Source organism: Homo sapiens, chromosome 8, assembly GCF_000001405.40.
Source record: "Homo sapiens chromosome 8, GRCh38.p14 Primary Assembly".
Lineage (NCBI taxonomy): Eukaryota > Metazoa > Chordata > Mammalia > Primates > Hominidae > Homo > Homo sapiens.
The window spans coordinates 98298474-98316290 of record NC_000008.11 but is presented as its reverse complement, the minus strand read 5'-3'; the positions used below and the strand labels follow the sequence as shown (position 1 = coordinate 98316290).

The 17817-nt window shown below is 41.9% G+C and overlaps 1 long non-coding RNA gene across 1 annotated transcript in view, besides 1 other annotated feature; it reads right to left on the bottom strand.

Moving 5' to 3' along the window:
- Positions 9949-11148: an enhancer, noted in NCBI's record as "MED14-independent group 3 enhancer chr8:99317371-99318570 (GRCh37/hg19 assembly coordinates)". NCBI's record gives its function as "activates an origin of replication core promoter dependent on BRD2, BRD4, P300/CBP and CDK7 cofactors, and independent of MED14, by STARR-seq in HCT116 cells {active_cell/tissue: HCT116}" and the evidence as "EXISTENCE:reporter gene assay evidence [ECO:0000049][PMID:35650434]".
- The window catches only part of LOC105375659 (uncharacterized), a 50787-nt gene continuing 43571 nt past the window's right edge, over positions 10602-17817 (bottom strand). The window contains exon 6 of the long non-coding RNA XR_007061023.1: positions 10602-11122. This is a non-coding gene — a long non-coding RNA (uncharacterized LOC105375659). The remainder of the gene's footprint in view (positions 11123-17817) is intronic.

Sequence of the window (17817 nt, the reverse complement as noted above, 5' to 3'; positions counted from 1 at the left end):
ATAATAAAATTCCAGCTTTCAAGCAAAAATGAGAACTTCTAAAAAAGTTGACAGCATACCAATATTTAAAGGATTTATGATAAAATCCGTGGTGATATTATCATAGTGATTATTTGATACCATATAATGAAATGTGTCAACATCAAGAAGACCTGCATTACTCAGGGAATCAGTGTTTTCCAAATGACCTATGCATAATGCCAATACATGAGAGACCAACGGATTTTAATGCAATGAAGGACAAAAAGTCATTGATACGGTTTCAGAATCTACCAATTCTACCAGATTTAGGAGATCATCCTTGAAGAAACTATCACTTGTTGAGTGTTGATGTCAAATCTAAAAGAAATATCCACAATTATCTAAAAAGGGTGTTAAAGTACTCTTCTCTTTTCCAGTTACAGGTTTGTGTGAGGCCCAACTTTCTTCATCTACTTCAACCAAAACAATGTATCATCTCAGACTGGGTGCAGAAGCAGCTATGGAACCACAGCTGTTTTCTATTAAGCCAGACATTAAAGCAACTTATAAAAATGTGAAACGATGCCACTCTTCTCACTAATATTTTCATTGAAAGTATCTTATTTATATTATTATATAAAGGGCTTATTTTAATAAAGAAATAAATTCTTAAAATCTTTCTTAACTTTAATTTCTAGTACAATAAACATTAGCTATTAATATAACCCATGTAAACAAAAGCTCTTTGGAGTCCTCAATAATTTTTAAAGAGTATTCATGGGTCCTGAGACCAAAATGTTTGAAAATCATTTCCTTGACCTTGGTTTGATTCCTTTCTAAAAAATCACCAAATCTAAAAATATGAACTACATAGTTGAACCTGTAAGTCAACAATCAATTGTACTGTTTAAGAAAATCTTACTAACAGGTATGGATTGGGGATTTTTTTGAAGCCTCTCTGGGTTAAAAAAAAATGAATTTCTTAACTAAAGACTATTTAACGCATATGTCATATAGTAGGCAAGAATGACCCAGGGCCCAAAAAGGACCCTCAGTGTTTTCTCCCCTGCTGATCTTGATTTTAAAATGTTCAGTTTTAGTTACTATACTGTCAAGATGGATGTAATGTACAAACGTAACCTTTATTCATCAATAGAGAACACAATTCTAATCTGACACTTCAAATATGTCATCCAGCCTGAGAAGTGTAACACACATGATGCAAAATGCCTACCATCAAGAGCTGTTCTTGAAATGTCAGTGCACAAGCCCATGCACCCATGCCCCCAGAACATTCCGGAGCAGGCATCATCCTGCAGTGAAGGCCGTATGAAAGCAACATGACTTAATTACATTCATCACACTGAAAATCAAATTCTATGCCAATGATACATGGCACTTGGAGCTTATTTTACAAACATTAACTAATTAATCTGTGAAACATCCCTGAGAGGCAAGACATAATGATATACGAGCTGACAACCTAATTATGTCTAATTATTCCTATTTCCCCCTTCCAAGGGTTTTTTATTGCTAGTTCAGAGAAGTGGGCCTGCTATGTTCTTAGTATTCCATCCAGAATTCTCTTGCTACGAGAGAATTCTCTAGCATTCACCTTTCTTTGTGGAACAGATCAACCTGTACCATTTTTCACTGGAATCGTTTATAGAAGCTTGAAAGCACCCAAACTTTAATTTAGTGCTGAACTCACAATTCTGCCTCTTAAACTACATTCTTTGCTCCTTTTTCACCTCCAAATAATTTTGATTATTATCCTCAATTGCTTTGACCAATTTTGCTCTGCTGTCCTCTTTTCTTTCTATAGTTTCTTTCTGCTGGAAACATACTCACAGGCACAGGCCCTATTATCCATGCAGTTCGTTTTCCCCAAATTTTGTAATCGGAAGGTCAAAGTTGCCTTCTCTGTGCCTTTGTCCCTGTTGTCTCCCTCTTTTGAGACCTTGTTAGCTTTCCTCAGGCTCCCTGCATTCCCTCATTTCTCATTCCATTTAAAATTCAGACAATTTTGTTTCATCTGAGAATTCCACTTTGGCTTCTAAATTTTCTCCTCAGCAGCAAGGTGGGCCTTGAAAGTGAAAGGCCCCTATGTTTAAAAACATTGCTAGGCCGGACACAGTGGCTCACACCTGTAATCCCAGCACTTTGGGAGGCTGAGGCAGATGGATCATCTGAGATCAGGAGATTGAGACCAGCCTGGGCAACATGGTGAAACCCCGTCTCTACTAAAAATACAAAAATTAGCCAGGTACAATGGCACGTGTCTGTAATCCCAGCTACTCGGGAGGCTGAGACAGGAGAATCTCTTGAGCCCAGGAGGTGGAGGTTGCAGTGAGCTGAGATTGCGTCATTGCACTCCAGCCTGGGCGACAGAGTGAGACTCTGTCTCAAACAAAACAAAACAAAAAAAACAACAACAACACTGCTAGAAGATGTATTGTTAAAAGGGATGTCACCATTTATGGAAAAAAAGATATAATTATGTTTTAAAATGCATCAATTATATCAGGCATTAAAAATAAGTAACAATTCTTATAAGAACCATATTAGAATTATCCAAAGAAACAGAACCAATAGGATGTGTGTACACACACACACACACAGAGAGAGAGAGAGAGAGAAGGAGGGTGATTTTAGGGAATTGGATCATGTGACTGTGGGCCTGTTAAGTCCAAAATTTGCAGGGCAAGCTGAAATTCTGGCCAGAGCTGATGTTGCAGTCTTGGGTTTGAAGGCAGAATGAGGCAGAATGCCCTCCTGCTGGGGGAAACCTCAATCTTTGCTCTTAAGGCCTTCAACTGATGGGATATGGCCTACCCACATTATGGAGGGTAATTTGCTTCACTCAAAGTCTACTGATTGAAATGTTAATCCATTCTAAAAAAATTAAATAAATACCTTCACAGCAATGTCTAGGCTGGTATTTGACAAACAACTGGGCACCATAGCCTAGACAAGCTGACACATAAAATTGGCCATCACAAGAGCCTACCTTGTTTGAGAAAGTATTTAAGGTGACTATTTTCTCATTGCTGTAATCCTGCCAGCTAACAAAGTGCCTCCTTTGCTAGTGTTCACTTACTCTTCATTCAGTGGCAAAGTCAATGAATGTGTGTTATGCTTATGTTTCCAATAAGTTGTAAGCTTGAGGAACAATGTTTCTCTTGCATTTCCTGTAGCGATTGCAATTACATAACTCACATTTTCTGGGACAGGAGTGTTTTCAGGTGCTCTGTTTACTGTCACATCATGTGTCCTGATTTTTAATTTTAGGAAACATGGTCACCATACTTCTAACATGTAATTGCATGCTGGACATCGTCAGTAAATTTCAATAAATACTTACTGCTTGAAATGGAATTTCCAGCCAGTGGACATTTTGTTTAAAATATGACAAAATACAACTGGGGGAAATTATCATTTCTCTTCTCATTTATTCCTGAGACATACAATGCAATCTGGTTCTTGTGTTTTAAATTTTCCATGTCCAGTTTTCAGGGTGTGGTTATAATGAATTGCCAAACCAATATGAAGTAAGATATTCAGTAATCAAGGACAAGTTCAAACAATGTTGAACTTTTTTTTAGGGTGAGTGAATGTGCAGGTAATGTATCCGGGGAAGGGCTTGTATATAAAAGGAGGGACACAATTAGACAAATAAAAATACCTGTTTATGGTTTCTCTATGCAGATAATAAAACTTTATGACTCCAGGAGGAAGGCGGATGAACTTTATTGTACATAAGAAAATGGCAGAATCTAAGCATAAATACAACATTAAGAATTTTTTTCCAATAAAAATTACTTGGGGCTTTTCTGGACTGCTGAAATTATTTTTCTACTGTATAATCTGATGCGATTTTTTAAGCTGCTGGTTTGTTCCAAACTGATATCTCAAAGGAGTACAAATTATAGCGCTTGGAATTTAGATAGGCCTGGTGAAAATTTAAAGCTATTATAGAAAACTGAATGATGAATTATCTTCAGGGAAGCCAGAAAGTGCCTGAACCAAAAGCCTTCAGATACTCAGTCAAAAAATTAGCAAGATTTAGTGACAACTTGGCTACATGGAATGAAGATATGAGAGAGACGAAAGATGTTTTAGTCTAGGTAGGAGACTGGAACTATGCTTATCTTATTATTAGAGACAGAGAGATTAGGACAGATAACCAGTTTGGAATATTTAGTAGTGGAGTGAAGGTGCTGAGTGATTTTGAACATGTGTCGGAGTGAAACATGGAGATGCTCCATACACAGCTGGAAGTGCAGAATATGAATGCAGGTGAGAAATCAGAACCAGAGCTGCGTTCCCAGAACCTTTATTACAGAATTTAAATGAAGCCTAAACTATTGACTGTGATTATCGCTTTTCACCCCTATGTCTCCCCTAAGCCACAGATTTCCTCTTCCTGGACTCCAGCTAGATGGAGTGATTGGCAGGCCCCCTACTTGATCTTTGCCCTTCTGGAACATGTGCACACTCTATCCTCACCTGGAATTCTCTCTCTTTTCCCATCCCACACCTCACAACCCACACCCCAACTTCCACTCAGGTCTCACTTTAGATGTGGCTTCTCTGAGTGCCTCCTTATACACACACATGCATGCATGTGCACAAACACATATCTATGTGCAAGTGCACACACACACTCCTCCTGGGTTAGGTTAGTTACCTTCCTATGAGGTTCCAGAACCCGTAGGATTTATTTCCCCCATTACTCTATGTTATAAAATTCTGCTCACTCTTCCTCCCAACCAACTTGAGTTTGAGGTTCCCCAGGGCAGGGATTACATCCTTCCTGCTCGTTATTGTATTTTTAACTCCATAACACACAGTAGACACTCAACAAATTCAATGAATAAATGAATTATCAGAGAGGACTGAATACAGGCAAGATTACAGTGGATGAAGCTCTACAAAAGCATGTGGGGAAAAGAGAAGGGTGATAGTTGCCTGCCTCAAATGACAAGCCTGGAAGTGCTTGGAAATGTTAATTACCTGTTGTGTGTATTACCTTATGGAATGAATGAAGAGGTTATGGTGTTGCATTCTGATGTGGTTTTTCTGGTGAGATGTGTAAAGTAAGGCACACCCATGTGTATGGGTGGTAGGCATGTCTTCCAAGAAGCTGGAAGCCATTCTGCAGAGCAGTCACCTGGGAAAGAAGGGTGTTCTCAGACAGGAAGTGAGCTGAAGGGTGGCTTGGGTGGGTGAAAGGACAGGCTTGATCTTGCTCTCTTGGTCTGGAGCTGTGCTTTCCAATAGAGCAGCCACTAGACACATGTGGCTATTGAGCACTTGAAATGTGCTGATCTGGATTGAGATGTGCTCCAAGTATGATATACACACTAGATTTCAAAATGAGTACAAAAAATATAAGGTATTTTATTAATAGTTTTTATATCGATTACATGTTGAAATGATATTCTGGGTATGGTGGGTTAAATAAAATCCAACATTGAAATTAATTTCACCTGTTTCTTTTTGCCTTCTTAACGTGGCTACTAAAACATTTAAAATTCTATATATGGCTTGAGTTACATTTCTATTGGACAACGCTGGTCTAGACTTAAGAGGAGATTTGGACATTTCTGAATGTCCTCCTGGGTGTGAGACAGAGCAGAGACTCTTCTTAGGGGACTGCCACCCTGCCCCAAGCATGGAAATAAAGGAAAATCTGGAGTTCCTTCAAGGGAAATTCCAAACACCTAGCCAGCCCTGAGATGTAAATAAGCAACCTGATAAGCAAGAGGGTAATAATTGCTGAAAACAATAGCAAAGGAAGTTAGAGCCACAAGATGTTCGGTTCCCTATAGAAACTAAAGACAGGTCGGGCATGGTGGCTCATGCCTGTAATCCTAACACTTTGGGAGGCTAAGGCAGGAGGATCCCTTGAGCTCAAGAGTTCAAGACCAGCCTGGGCAACATAGGGAGACCTTGTCTCTAAAAAAGAAGAACTAAAGATAACATCTTCACATATGTCCCTGAGTTGTTTTTCAGAAACTCACACCCCCCACCAAATGGAAAATGTCGTTCACTGGCACATAGACCTCAGGTAAGGGAGAAGTGAGGACTCAGTGCCATTCTTTGTTCTAAATTTCTTCCTGAGGGGACTTGAAGAGTCACATGCAGAGGCCAGACCTCAACATTCCTTTCTGCTGACCCCAAGTTTTTAGACAAAGCTTTGCTTCCTTAACCGGAGAATCTTTGAATCCCCCAATGACCGGTAAGCCCCTGCTTCAAGATATCCTATCTTTTTAGGCCAAACCAATCTCTAACCTCCATGTGCTGATTTATGATTTCACTTCTGCTTTCCTGAAGTGTACCCCTGCCTTTAAAAACCTTTGCCTGTAAGTCAGCAGGCAGTCTTAAGCACAAGCTGCCCAATTCTTATTCCTTGGTGTCCTGTAAATAAATGCCCTCCTTTCCCTCACTGCAAACCTCGGTGAGGGTGTTTGTCTTTAGTGTGCAGGGTGAGCGGACCCAGGTTTGGCTCAGTAACAGGTGGAGCTATTAAGGCAGCAATGGAACAAATCTGAAAACCTGAAACGTAAGCATATCTTGTAAAGGTAGAATGATTTATGAGCATCTCTGTCTTGTTTGCACCATTGTAAAGGATTTCTTCCTAGTGCTCTATGTGCTGGACACTGTGCTAGGTGTTGGGGCTACAGGATAAACCAGGCAAAGGTGGTCCTGCCCTCCTCAAGCTTGCTCTCTAGCTACGTGATTCAGTCTCTCCCTTCATCAGGAGAGTTTCTGCTACTGCTGTCTTTGGAGGAGAATGGATAGGGAAGCATGACATTTGATATTTATTTGTTTTTCATCATGACTAAATGTATTGAATGTTTACTCTGTATCAGGCACTTTTAATTCCTTGTCTCCTGGAATCCTCATTAATCAATCACCCTACAAAGCAGGAACTATTATTATTCCTGTAAAAAGGAGTAAACTGAGGATTGGGAAGTAAAATAAGTTGCCCAAAGCCAAACAGATGGTCAGAAACAGAGCCCGAATTGAAACCCAGATCTGCCTGAATGCAGTGTTCCACAGCTAACCACTATACACATACTACACTGGCTAACTTTCTTTTTTTAGAGAGAGAGGGCAGGGGCGGTGTGGGGGGGGATGGCACGGGTCTCTCACTTTGTTGCCTAGGCTGGTCTTGAACTCCTGGCTTCAAGAGATCCTCCTGCCTTAGCCTTCCAAAGTGCTGGGATTACAGGCGTGAGCCACTGCACCTGGCCTGTTGCTATTTTACAACTGAGGAAACTGAATCCCAGAAAAGTGAAATAACCCAGCCAAGATCATGGAGCTACTAAACTGTGGCAACATTATTTGAATCTTAGTCCTCTTACATGTAAAGTTCTTTAAATATTCCATCTCTCTAAAGTTCCCATAAAAATATATATGTTGGTGGCACTGCCTGTAACCCCAGCACTTTGGGAGGCCGAAGCGGGCAGATCACTTGAGGCCAGGAGTTTGAGACCTGCCTGGCCAACATGGCAAAACCCCATCTCCATAAAAATGCACACACACAATAATAGCCAGGTGTGGTGGCGTGCTTATAATCTCAGCTACTTGGGAAGGTGAGGCATGAGAATCATTTGAACCTGGGAGGCGGAGGCTGCAGTGAGCCGAGATTGCACCACTGCACTTCAGCCTGGGCAACAGAACAAGATGCTGTCTCAAAAAAATAAAAATTAAAATTAAAAAAGGTATATTTTAAACGTGTGGAAGATAAAAGCTAGCCTTCTTAGCTTGGTGTGTTGGTGAACACCTGTAGTCCCCTGTAGTCCCAGCTACTCGAGAGACTGAAGTGGGACGATCACGTGAGCCCAGGAGGCCGAGGTTGCAGTGAGCCGTAATTGTGCCGCTATACTCCAGCCTGGGGCACAGAGCAAGCCCCTGTCTCAAAGAAAAGGAGAGGATCCAGTTTCAGCTTTCTACATATGGCTGAAACTGGATCCCTTCCTTACACCTTATACAAAAATCAATTCAAGATGGATTAAAGATTTAAACATTAGACCTAAAACCATAAAAACCCTAGAAGAAAACCTAGGCATTACCATTCGGGACATAGGCATGGGCAAGGACTTCATGTCCAAAACACCAAAAGCAATGGCAACAAAAGACAAAATTGACAAATGGGATCTAATTAAACTAAAGAGCTTCTGCACAGCAAAAGAAACTACCATCAGAGCGGACAGGCAACCTACAAAATGGGAGAAAATTTTCACAACCTACTCATCTGACAAAGGGCTAATATCCAGAATCTACAATGAACTCAAACAAATTTACAAGAAAAAAACAAACAACCCCATCAAAAAGTGGGCAAAGGACATGAACAGACACTTCTCAAAAGAAGACATTTATGCAGCCAAAAAACACATGAAAAAATGCTCATCATCACTGGCCATCAGGGAAATGCAAATCAAAACCACAATGAGATACCATTTCACACCAGTTAGAATGGCAATCATTAAAAAGTCAGGAAACAACAGGTGCTGGAGAGGATGTGGAGAAATAGGAACACTTTTACACTGTTGGTGGGACTGTAGACTAGTTCAACCATTGTGGAAGTCGGTGTGGCGATTCCTCAGGGATCTAGAACTAGAAATACCATTTGACCCAGCCATCCCATTACTGGGTATATACCCAAAGGACTATAAATCATGCTGTTATAAAGACACATGCACACGTATGTTTATTGCGGCATTATTCACAATAGCAAAGACTTGGAACCAACCCAAATGTCCAACAATGATAGACTGGATTAAGAAAACGTGGCACATATACACCATGGAATACTATGCAGCCATAAAAAATGATGAGTTCATGTCCTTTGTAGGGACATGGATGAAATTGGAAATCATCATTCTCAGTAAACTATCACAAGAACAAAAAACCAAACACTGCATATTCTCACTCATAGGTGGGAATTGAACAATGAGATCACATGGACACAGGAAGGGGAATATCACACTCTGGGGACTGTGGTGGGGTGGGGGGATGGGGGAGGGATAGCATTGGGAGATATACCTAATGCTAGATGATGAGTTAGTGGGTGCAGCGCACCAGCATGGCACATGTATACATATGTAACTAACCTGCACAATGTGCACATGTACCCTAAAACTTAAAGTATAATAAATAAATAAATAAATACATAAATAAATAAAAGGAGAGGAGAGGAGAGGGGAGAGGGGAAAAGGGAGAGCGCAGAGGAGAGGAAGAAAGAGAGAAAGAGAGAGGGAGGGGGAGGGAAGAGGAGAATGAGAGAGGAAGGAAGGAAGGAAGAAAGGAAGGAGAGAAAGAAAGAAGGAGAAAAAAGAAGGAAAAATTGGGGGGGGAAAACTAACCCTCTTTGACTAGCGACTACCAGATATCCCAAGATGTTGTAGGAAGACGGATTAGTACCTTCTAGAGCCATTCTCTCTTCCCCTAAGTAGCCAGGGGTTAAAAAAAAAAAAAATCTGCTATAATGTGAAGAAGATAAAAGTTCTAGACTCATACTTCAGAGTTGGAAACATTTGGAATGATATAGTCCAAGCCTCTCATTTCACAGATGAGGCCCAGGGAGATACAGGAACTTGCCCAAGGTCACCCAGCTAGTTGGTGGCAGAACCAGACCTGGAGCACGTGCTGCTTTGCACAGTGTATGCCTCTCTTCATAACCCTCCCTGCCCCCAGGAGCACCCAAATGAGGGCCTTGGGGAATTTCAGGGCGGTGTGTGTGTTTGGGGGGGAATTGCTAGGGGGTGCCCTATTGGTTGACAGGAGGCAAAGCTTACTCTGCCTCATTACACATGTAGTTTTCATCACAACCCCAAGGCACTCGTGAAGAACCCAGAGAGGCCACAGCACACAGCAGGGCCCTGCAGAGAGAACTACTGGAGTAGTCCCTGCTTTCCTTATCGTCTAAGACACACCAGTGCTGTGGATCCAGATAACAGGACAAATAGTATAAAAACAAGATTCGCTCAGAACCTGGAAACAAGTGGAGGGTTTCGCTTTCCTTGCTTTTCTTCCCTTTAAGCACATGCAAGTCCAGGAGAACAGCTTTTTAGAGGAAGCCTGTATAACTCGGCAGAGCAGCTGTGGGGCTTGACTGGCAAGACAGGTTTAGGAAGCCGTGTTTGGGAGGAGACGCCTGCAGGAGACGCAGATGACACTCCATGCTGATCCTGGAAATTTCACACACAGTAAAAAATTCTAATTAGCAATCTGGGCCAAAAGCTGTTTCTGGGAGTTGCTCTCCAGGCATCAAGCTGTTCCATGGCACGGGTGCCCACCCAGCCATGACTCGCTGTCCCTGCACACACATTTGCACTTCCCACTTCCCTCTGGGTGTTCTATATTCCTGCCATACTCTCTCCTTGTCACACTTGCGTCAGCCACACTCTTTTCTCAGGCCCTGCTCAAGAACCTCGACCTCCTTGAAGCTTTTCCAGACCCTGTCCAGCCCGAAAATCACTCCTTTTTTTGGAATCCAAGATTCATATCCTCCTGTATTTAGCACTTAGTTATCGAGTTCCTAGTTGATTTATACTTATTTATCTTTTTATGTATGTTCTGTCTCTTAAACTGGAATTAAGCCACTTACAGCAAGGGACAGATCCATTTTCCTCCATGAATTCCAAATTCCTTCTTGGTACAGAGCCACGTGAGTGCAGGCACTCCATACACTTTGGATGTTGATTATGACAGTGACAATGATGATGATAATGGTGATGGAGGAGAATGAGGAGAGAAGAAAGAGAGAAAATAAATTTGTCCTAAGGGACAAATTGAATGACTATTGAGATCAAACTCCAGGCAAAGAAAAATCTGAGAAATGCTCAAATTTATGTCTGTGACACTTCTACTTGCCACGTTTGTCACGTCTGGTTTCACAGGCCATTGCATCAGTGCTAAATGCAAAGCTGGATTGTCTCTTTCATTCCTTTCCTTGAGGACCCCACTGTGATGGTGACTTTCATGTGTCCACTTGACCGGGCCACAGGGTACCCAGACATTTGGCCAAACATTATTTGGGATGTGGCTGTGCGGGAGTTTCTGGAGGAGCTTCATAGCTGAATTGGTAGACTGAGTACAGCAGACTATGCTCCCTAATGTGGGTGGGTCTCATCAGTTGACTGAAGACCTGAATAGAACAAAAAGACTGAGTCAGAGGGAACCCCTGCTGCCTGATGGCTTGAGCTGGAACATGGGTCATTTCCTGCCTTTGAAATCTAACTGAAAAATCAGCTCTTCTTGGGACTCAGGCCTGCCCACTTTTGGGCTGGAACCTACCCCACTGACTCTCCTGGTTCTCAGGCCTTCAGACTCAGACTGAAACTGCACCATTGGCTCTTTAGGGTGTTCAGTTTGCCAACTATAGATCTTGGGACTTCACCTTCATAATCATGTGAGCCAATTCCTCATCATAAGTCTGTGTGCGTGTGCATGTGTGTATGCCTATCTCCTATTAGCTCTGTTTCTCTGAAGAGCCCTGATTAGTATACGCTTCTACCTGGACATCTTCATTGAGCAGCAGAAGTCTTGGCTCCACCACAAACCAGCAGTGAACATTAGGTAAATAATTTAGTTTCTCTAAGCTGAGGTGTTTGCTTTTGCTTTTTAAAAATGCAAATTTTCACCAGGCATGGTGGCTCATGCCTATAATCCAAGCATTTTGGGAGGCCAAGGCGGGTGGATCACTTGAGGCCTGGAGTTCAAGACCAACCTGGCCAACATAGCACATAGCAAAACCCCATCTCCACTAAAAATTAAAAAAAAAAAAAAATTAGCTGGGTGTGGTGGTGCCTGTAATCCCAGCTACTTGGGAGGCTGAAGCATGAGAATCGTTTGAATCTGGGAGGCGGAGGTTGCAGTGAGCCAAGATTTTGCCACTGCACTCCAGCCTGGGAAACAGAGTGAGACTCTGAAAAAGAATTTTTAATTCAAATTTTAATGAAGAGAGGTTGGTTAATAGGTACAAACATACAATTAGGTAGAAGAAATTAGTTCTAACATTGGACAGCAGAGTAGGGTGACTATAGTTAACAACAATGTATTGTATATTTCAAAATAGCTAGAAGAGAAGAGTTTAAATGTTCCCAATACATAGAAATGATCAAAAAATCAGGGTGATGGATACCGTAAATGCCCTGACCTGATCATTTCACATTCTATGCATGTAACAAAATATCACATGTACCTCATAAATATATACAAATATTATGTATCAATTAAAAATAAATAAAAATACAAGACATAAAAATGCTTTCTAAAAACACAAATGTTCTGCTTACTTTACAGAGCTTTTGAAAGAATCAAATGAAATAATAGAGGTGACAGTATTTGTAAACTATGAACTGGAAGGGAAAGATAATACTATGATGTGGCTGACTACTTCTTTTTTTTTTTTTTTTTTTTTTTTTTGAGACAGGGTCTTGCTCTGTTGCCCAGGCCGGAGTGCAGTGGCATGATCATGGCTCACTGCAGCCTCAACCTCCCAGCCTCCAGTCATCTTCCTCTCAGACTCCCAGGTAGCTGGGACCACAGGCACATGCCACCACACCCAGCTAATTTCTCTTATTTTGTAGAGACGAGGTCTCACTATGCTACCCAAGCTGGTCTCCAAACTCCTGGGCTCAAGCAATCCTCTGACCTTGGCCTCCCAAAGTGCTGGAATTACAGGCATGAGCCACTAAGCCTAGCCAGTAACTACCTCTTGACCTCTGACCTGTGGCCATTTGTCTACCTCTATATTTCTCACTCCAGGGGATTTTTCATTTACCAATTACATCTAAGATCTGTTGTGTCATCACCCCAAATTAAATATTTTATTTCTAAAATTAAGGTTTTTATCTCATTCCCCTCAATATTTCTCCAATTCACAAGCAGCCTTCACAGTAACAAACCTATTATGTAGTAAGATTTGAGGGGCAATTTTGCCCTTCCCACCTCCATCTATCCAAATTCTTACCATGACTGATATACTCCTTTGGGTTAAGATCTTGTGTTGCCAGGAGAGTCCATTTAGAAAGCAAATAGACACAGAAGATCTATTATGTCCATATCTTGGCATGGATTCATTCTTAGACTACTCTTTGAAAGTAGAGAGCAAAGGAATGCGAAGTGAGACGGTATGATTTTAGACAAGGCAGGGGAAGAGATGCTGTCTGTGGAGGACTGGCCTGGATGGGACACAGCCTTGGGAAGCCCTGCATAGCCAGAAGTCAGTAAATGCAGGTGGGATGGGGTATGGAGGGAGGACAGGAGTTGCGGAGGGTTATGGAAAAAGGCTTCACAATAAGTCAAGGAAAGGTCAGTCTTAAAGCAGGGTGGGCACTAGATTAACATTTTGTCCATTGAATACTTTTGTTTAGGGCTGGATCTGTTCTTGTTTCTCCAGGCCTGAGACCAGATATTCTTATCAGCTCTCTCCTCCCTTGGCCTATTCTACCTCCCTCAAATCATCTCTCACTGCTGTTTTTAAATTCCACGTTGCTTGGATCCTGCCTTTGCGTCTGGTTCCCAAAGATGCAATTCTGCCTCAGGCCCTGAGGGTCACACCAGGACTGTGCAGCCTTGGTACTCCCCTTAATGGGTTTCCCCCACTCTGAGCATTGTCTCCCTTGAGTATGGACTGATCCCAACATCCCTTTCCCAGAAGCCTCCTATGGCTTCAAAGTGATAAAACTCCTGGCTCTCCCCTGATTCCTAACCTCTTCCTTATCTAAGGTTATTTACAGTAATAACTGACATTCCTATGGTGAATTAGAGTTTTGTGAAATTTTATAGTTAACTATGATCTGACTGTCACCCCAACACTCTACTGAAACTCTCAGGAAAAGATCACCAGTGACCACCTATTATTGTCAAAGCCAATAAACACATTTCATTTACTGTCTCAGTACCCTTTCTGCAGCTGACAGCTTTATTCAACACACCTTCATTTTTGTAGTTCTCTCCTGTCCAGGTTTCTACAGCACTGCTCTATGCTGGTCTTCCACAATGTTGGCAATTGCTTTTATCTGCTCAGCATCCCTTTTCCTCACCTTGATAATGCCCCATCACCTTGAATAGAGTGGGTGTATGATCCAGGTGGGCCAATCATACCACCAAATCCTGTCCTCAGCGATTGGTGCAGGAATGGGTCACATGTCACAAAGCAGACCAGTCAGAGATTTTTTTCCCTGAACTTTCTAACTGAAGCTGGTTGGGAATACCCTTAATCAATTGGTTTTGCTGCTTAATACATACCTTCAAAATCTCAGTGGTTTTTAACAATCTAAATTTATTTTCTTGCCCAAGAGTCTACAGGTCAGATATGGCTCCATTGAAGACAGCCAGGATTGGCTTTAGGTCCACTTCACAGGTTTCTTTTTCCTCCCTGGACCAGTGGCTATTTGGAGTTATCTTTTCAGAGAGGAGCACAGGAATGCCTCTAAAAACCTTGGCCTGGAATTGTCACCCTCACTCCATCTACGTTTCTATTGGCCAAAGCAAATCATGTGCCCAAGCCCACCATCAATGGGAAGATGCCTCTGTGGGAGAAATTGTAGTCACTGAGCAATGGGTGGGGATGTACAAGGCAAATATTCCTGTGTCGGGGGCATGAAGAACTGTGTAGTCCAATCTGCCACACTCCCCCTTTCCTTTGTCACTCTAAGGATGGCATCAGGAGCCCCTGTGGCCATAATCTCACCATGTGAAGCTGATCTGAGGATGAAGCCCAGATGGCACAATCAGGTTCCCAGATCCAGTAGTCCAGCTCCACCCCTGCCTTCCCAGGTTGTAGTTAGGAATTAATGTATTTCCCTTTGAACTGGGATCCTGTCTCGAATTCTGAGAACCCTAAAAATCCATGCTCTTACCTCTTAGGCAGTTTTTGTTGGCCTTGTGTTCTGTACTCTATCTGGAACAGGGGTCAGCAAATTGTGGCCTATGGGGCGAATCCAGTGAGCATGCTGTTTTTGTAAATAAAGTTTTATTGGAACACAGCCACATCCATTTATACACATGTTGTCTGTGGCTGCTTTCACGCTGCAATGGCAGAGTTGAGTAGTTGTGACAGAGACCATATGGTCCACAAAACCTAAAATATTTACTATCTGGCCATTTACAGAAAAAGTGTGCTGAACACTGCTCTAAAAGATATTGGCTACTTGCTAGCCATGGCCAGTCTCATCCACCTGTATGCTGGTGAGTCCCAGATCTATTTCCCTGGCCCTGACCTCACCAGCGCACCTTAGAATAAATTCTGTACACCCTTTCCTGCTTGAATATTATACAAGTTCCTCAAATTCAATGAGTCTTGAAACCAAACTCCGGTTCCCCTACACTGGTTCCTCTTTCCTATTCCCCACATCAGTGAATGGTGCTGCCTTTTTACTTAATAGCCCCAACTACAACAATCTTAGACTCTCCCTTCTCCCACCTTTCCCTGCCCCATCAGCAGGTCATGCCAATTTTACTTCTAAACGTTTCTTAATCCCTCTCCTTCTCCCCAGCCTTTCTCATATATCCTCATTTGAGCCATAGCAGTCCCTAACTTGTCTCCTATCTTGTGTTTCTCCCCTTAAACCACACCCAGCCACACCTGTGCCTCCAACAAGGGAGATTTTACAGCTCTAAGCTTGCCCTGCTGCCCTCTTATCTTAAGTTACTCAGTGGTTCCCCGTTAAGAGTCAAGACTGACCTTGATCATCCAACACACAAAGCCCTCAATTTCCTGGCCCTGTCAGCCTCTCTATCCTTATGTTAGTGTATCACCTAAGGGTAATGTGGAATTGCTTCATGTGGATACATACATACTCTGCTGTCTTTGCCTGTGTTCTGCCTGCTGCAAGCCCTGTTCACCCTTGACCTCCCTTCTTCATGTGGCTAACTCATCTCAGGGCTCTCAATAGTCATCACCTCTTCTAGTTAGCCCTCCCAGGCTGCACCTGCCTGCCCAACCTGAGCTGGCTGCTTCTTCTTTCTTTCCTCCCACCCTTGTGCTGAAGTTAACTTGTAACATTGAGCCTACCTATTGGCATGTTTGCCTGCTCACAGCCAGTTAAGCTCCTCATGCCTTATCCAATTTCATGTCCTGGGCTCCTGGCACAAACTTAAGTATTTGGTGAACTGAGCTGAAATACAGCTCACATTACTTAATGTTCAAAAAAGCCTTTAAGATAAATATTATCATTCCCACTTCATGAATTAGGAAACTTAATCTCAGAGAATTCGCCCAAAGTCATACAGCTGATAAAGGTCAGAAGACCACACTTTAATCCAGGTCTACCAATCTTGAACTTTTCAAACCTCTAACCACAAAACCTCGGTTTTTTTCTGGATGGGTCTTTTTGTGTTAGTTGTAAAATATATTATGGTTATAAAAAAGCACACTTGACATAAGTGTATACCTTTAAGAATAATAATAGTACAAATGCCCATATAACACATAACCCAATTTAGAAAATAGAACGTTGCCAAACCTTTCAACCACTATCAGAATTTTTGTGTTTATCATTTTTTGCCCCTTCCTTCCTTCCTTCCTCTCTCTCTTTTTCTTTCTTTCTTTTTCAGACAGGGTGTCACTCTGTACCCCAGGACAGAATGCAGTGGAGCCATCACGGCTCACTGTACCTATACAGATCTCACCATGTTGCCCAGGCTCGTCTTGAACTCCTGAGCTCAAATGATCAGCTCGCCTCCGCTTCCTAAAATGCTGGGATTACAGGCATGAGCCACAGCACCTGGTCTATCCTTTGCTTTTCATTAGGTCTTCCCACATATAGATAGATGTACTTCTAAACAATATATTGTCTAATTTTGCATGCTTTTGAATAATACTGAATATAATCTTCTATGGATTTGCTATTATTATGTTTGTGGGATTCATCCATGTTGCTGTGGCTGTTAGGTGGTTGTCATTCAGGTAATTTCATTGCTGTGTTCCATTATATAAATGTATCAAAATTCATTTGCCCACTATTCCTGCTAATGGACATTTGAGCTGCTTCCAGTTTTTTGTTTGTTTGTTTGTTTGTTTGTTTGTTTGTTTTGCTGTTACAAAGAGTGCTGTTATTCTTATACATCTCTTCTGCTGTCCAGGTACGGAAGTTTCTCTGGGGTATGTACATAAGAGTGAAATTCACATGTACATCTTCATCTTTACCAAATACTGTCAAACTCTTTCCAGTGTCAATAGCATCAGCACTAAATAAGAGTTTCTTTTGCTCCACATCCTTATCAACACTTGGTATGCAAATTAAAAATTTTTTTTTTTGCCAACCAGCAGGTGTAAAATGGTTCTCATTGGAGATATTATTTTGTATTTTTCTGATTACTGGTGAAATGGAAGTATTTTATATGTTTATTAGCCATTTATAGTTTTTCTTATGAAGACCACCTGTTTATATTTTTGCCCATTTTTCTACCAGTTGTCTGACTTTTTCTTATTGACCTGAAGGAGTTATTTATATATTCTGGATGTGAATCCTTGGTCAGTCACATGTATGAGAAATAAAAGTTCTGAGTTTGACTTTTGTTTTGTTTTGTTTTGTTTTGTTTTTTGTGGCAGGGTCTCACTCTATTGCCCAGGCTGGAGTGTAGTAGCATGATCACAGCTCAGGGCAGCCTTGACCTCCCGGGCTCAGGTGATCCTCCTGCCTCAGCCTCCCCAAGTAGCTGAGACTACAGGCATGCGCCACCATGCCTGGCTAGTATTTTTGTATTAAGATTCTCAGTTTCTGACTTATCTTTTTACACTTTATGGTGCCTATTGATGTATAAAAGTTCTTAGTTTGGCTGGGCATGGTGGCTCATGCCTGTAAACCCGCACTTTGGGAGGCCAAGTAGGCA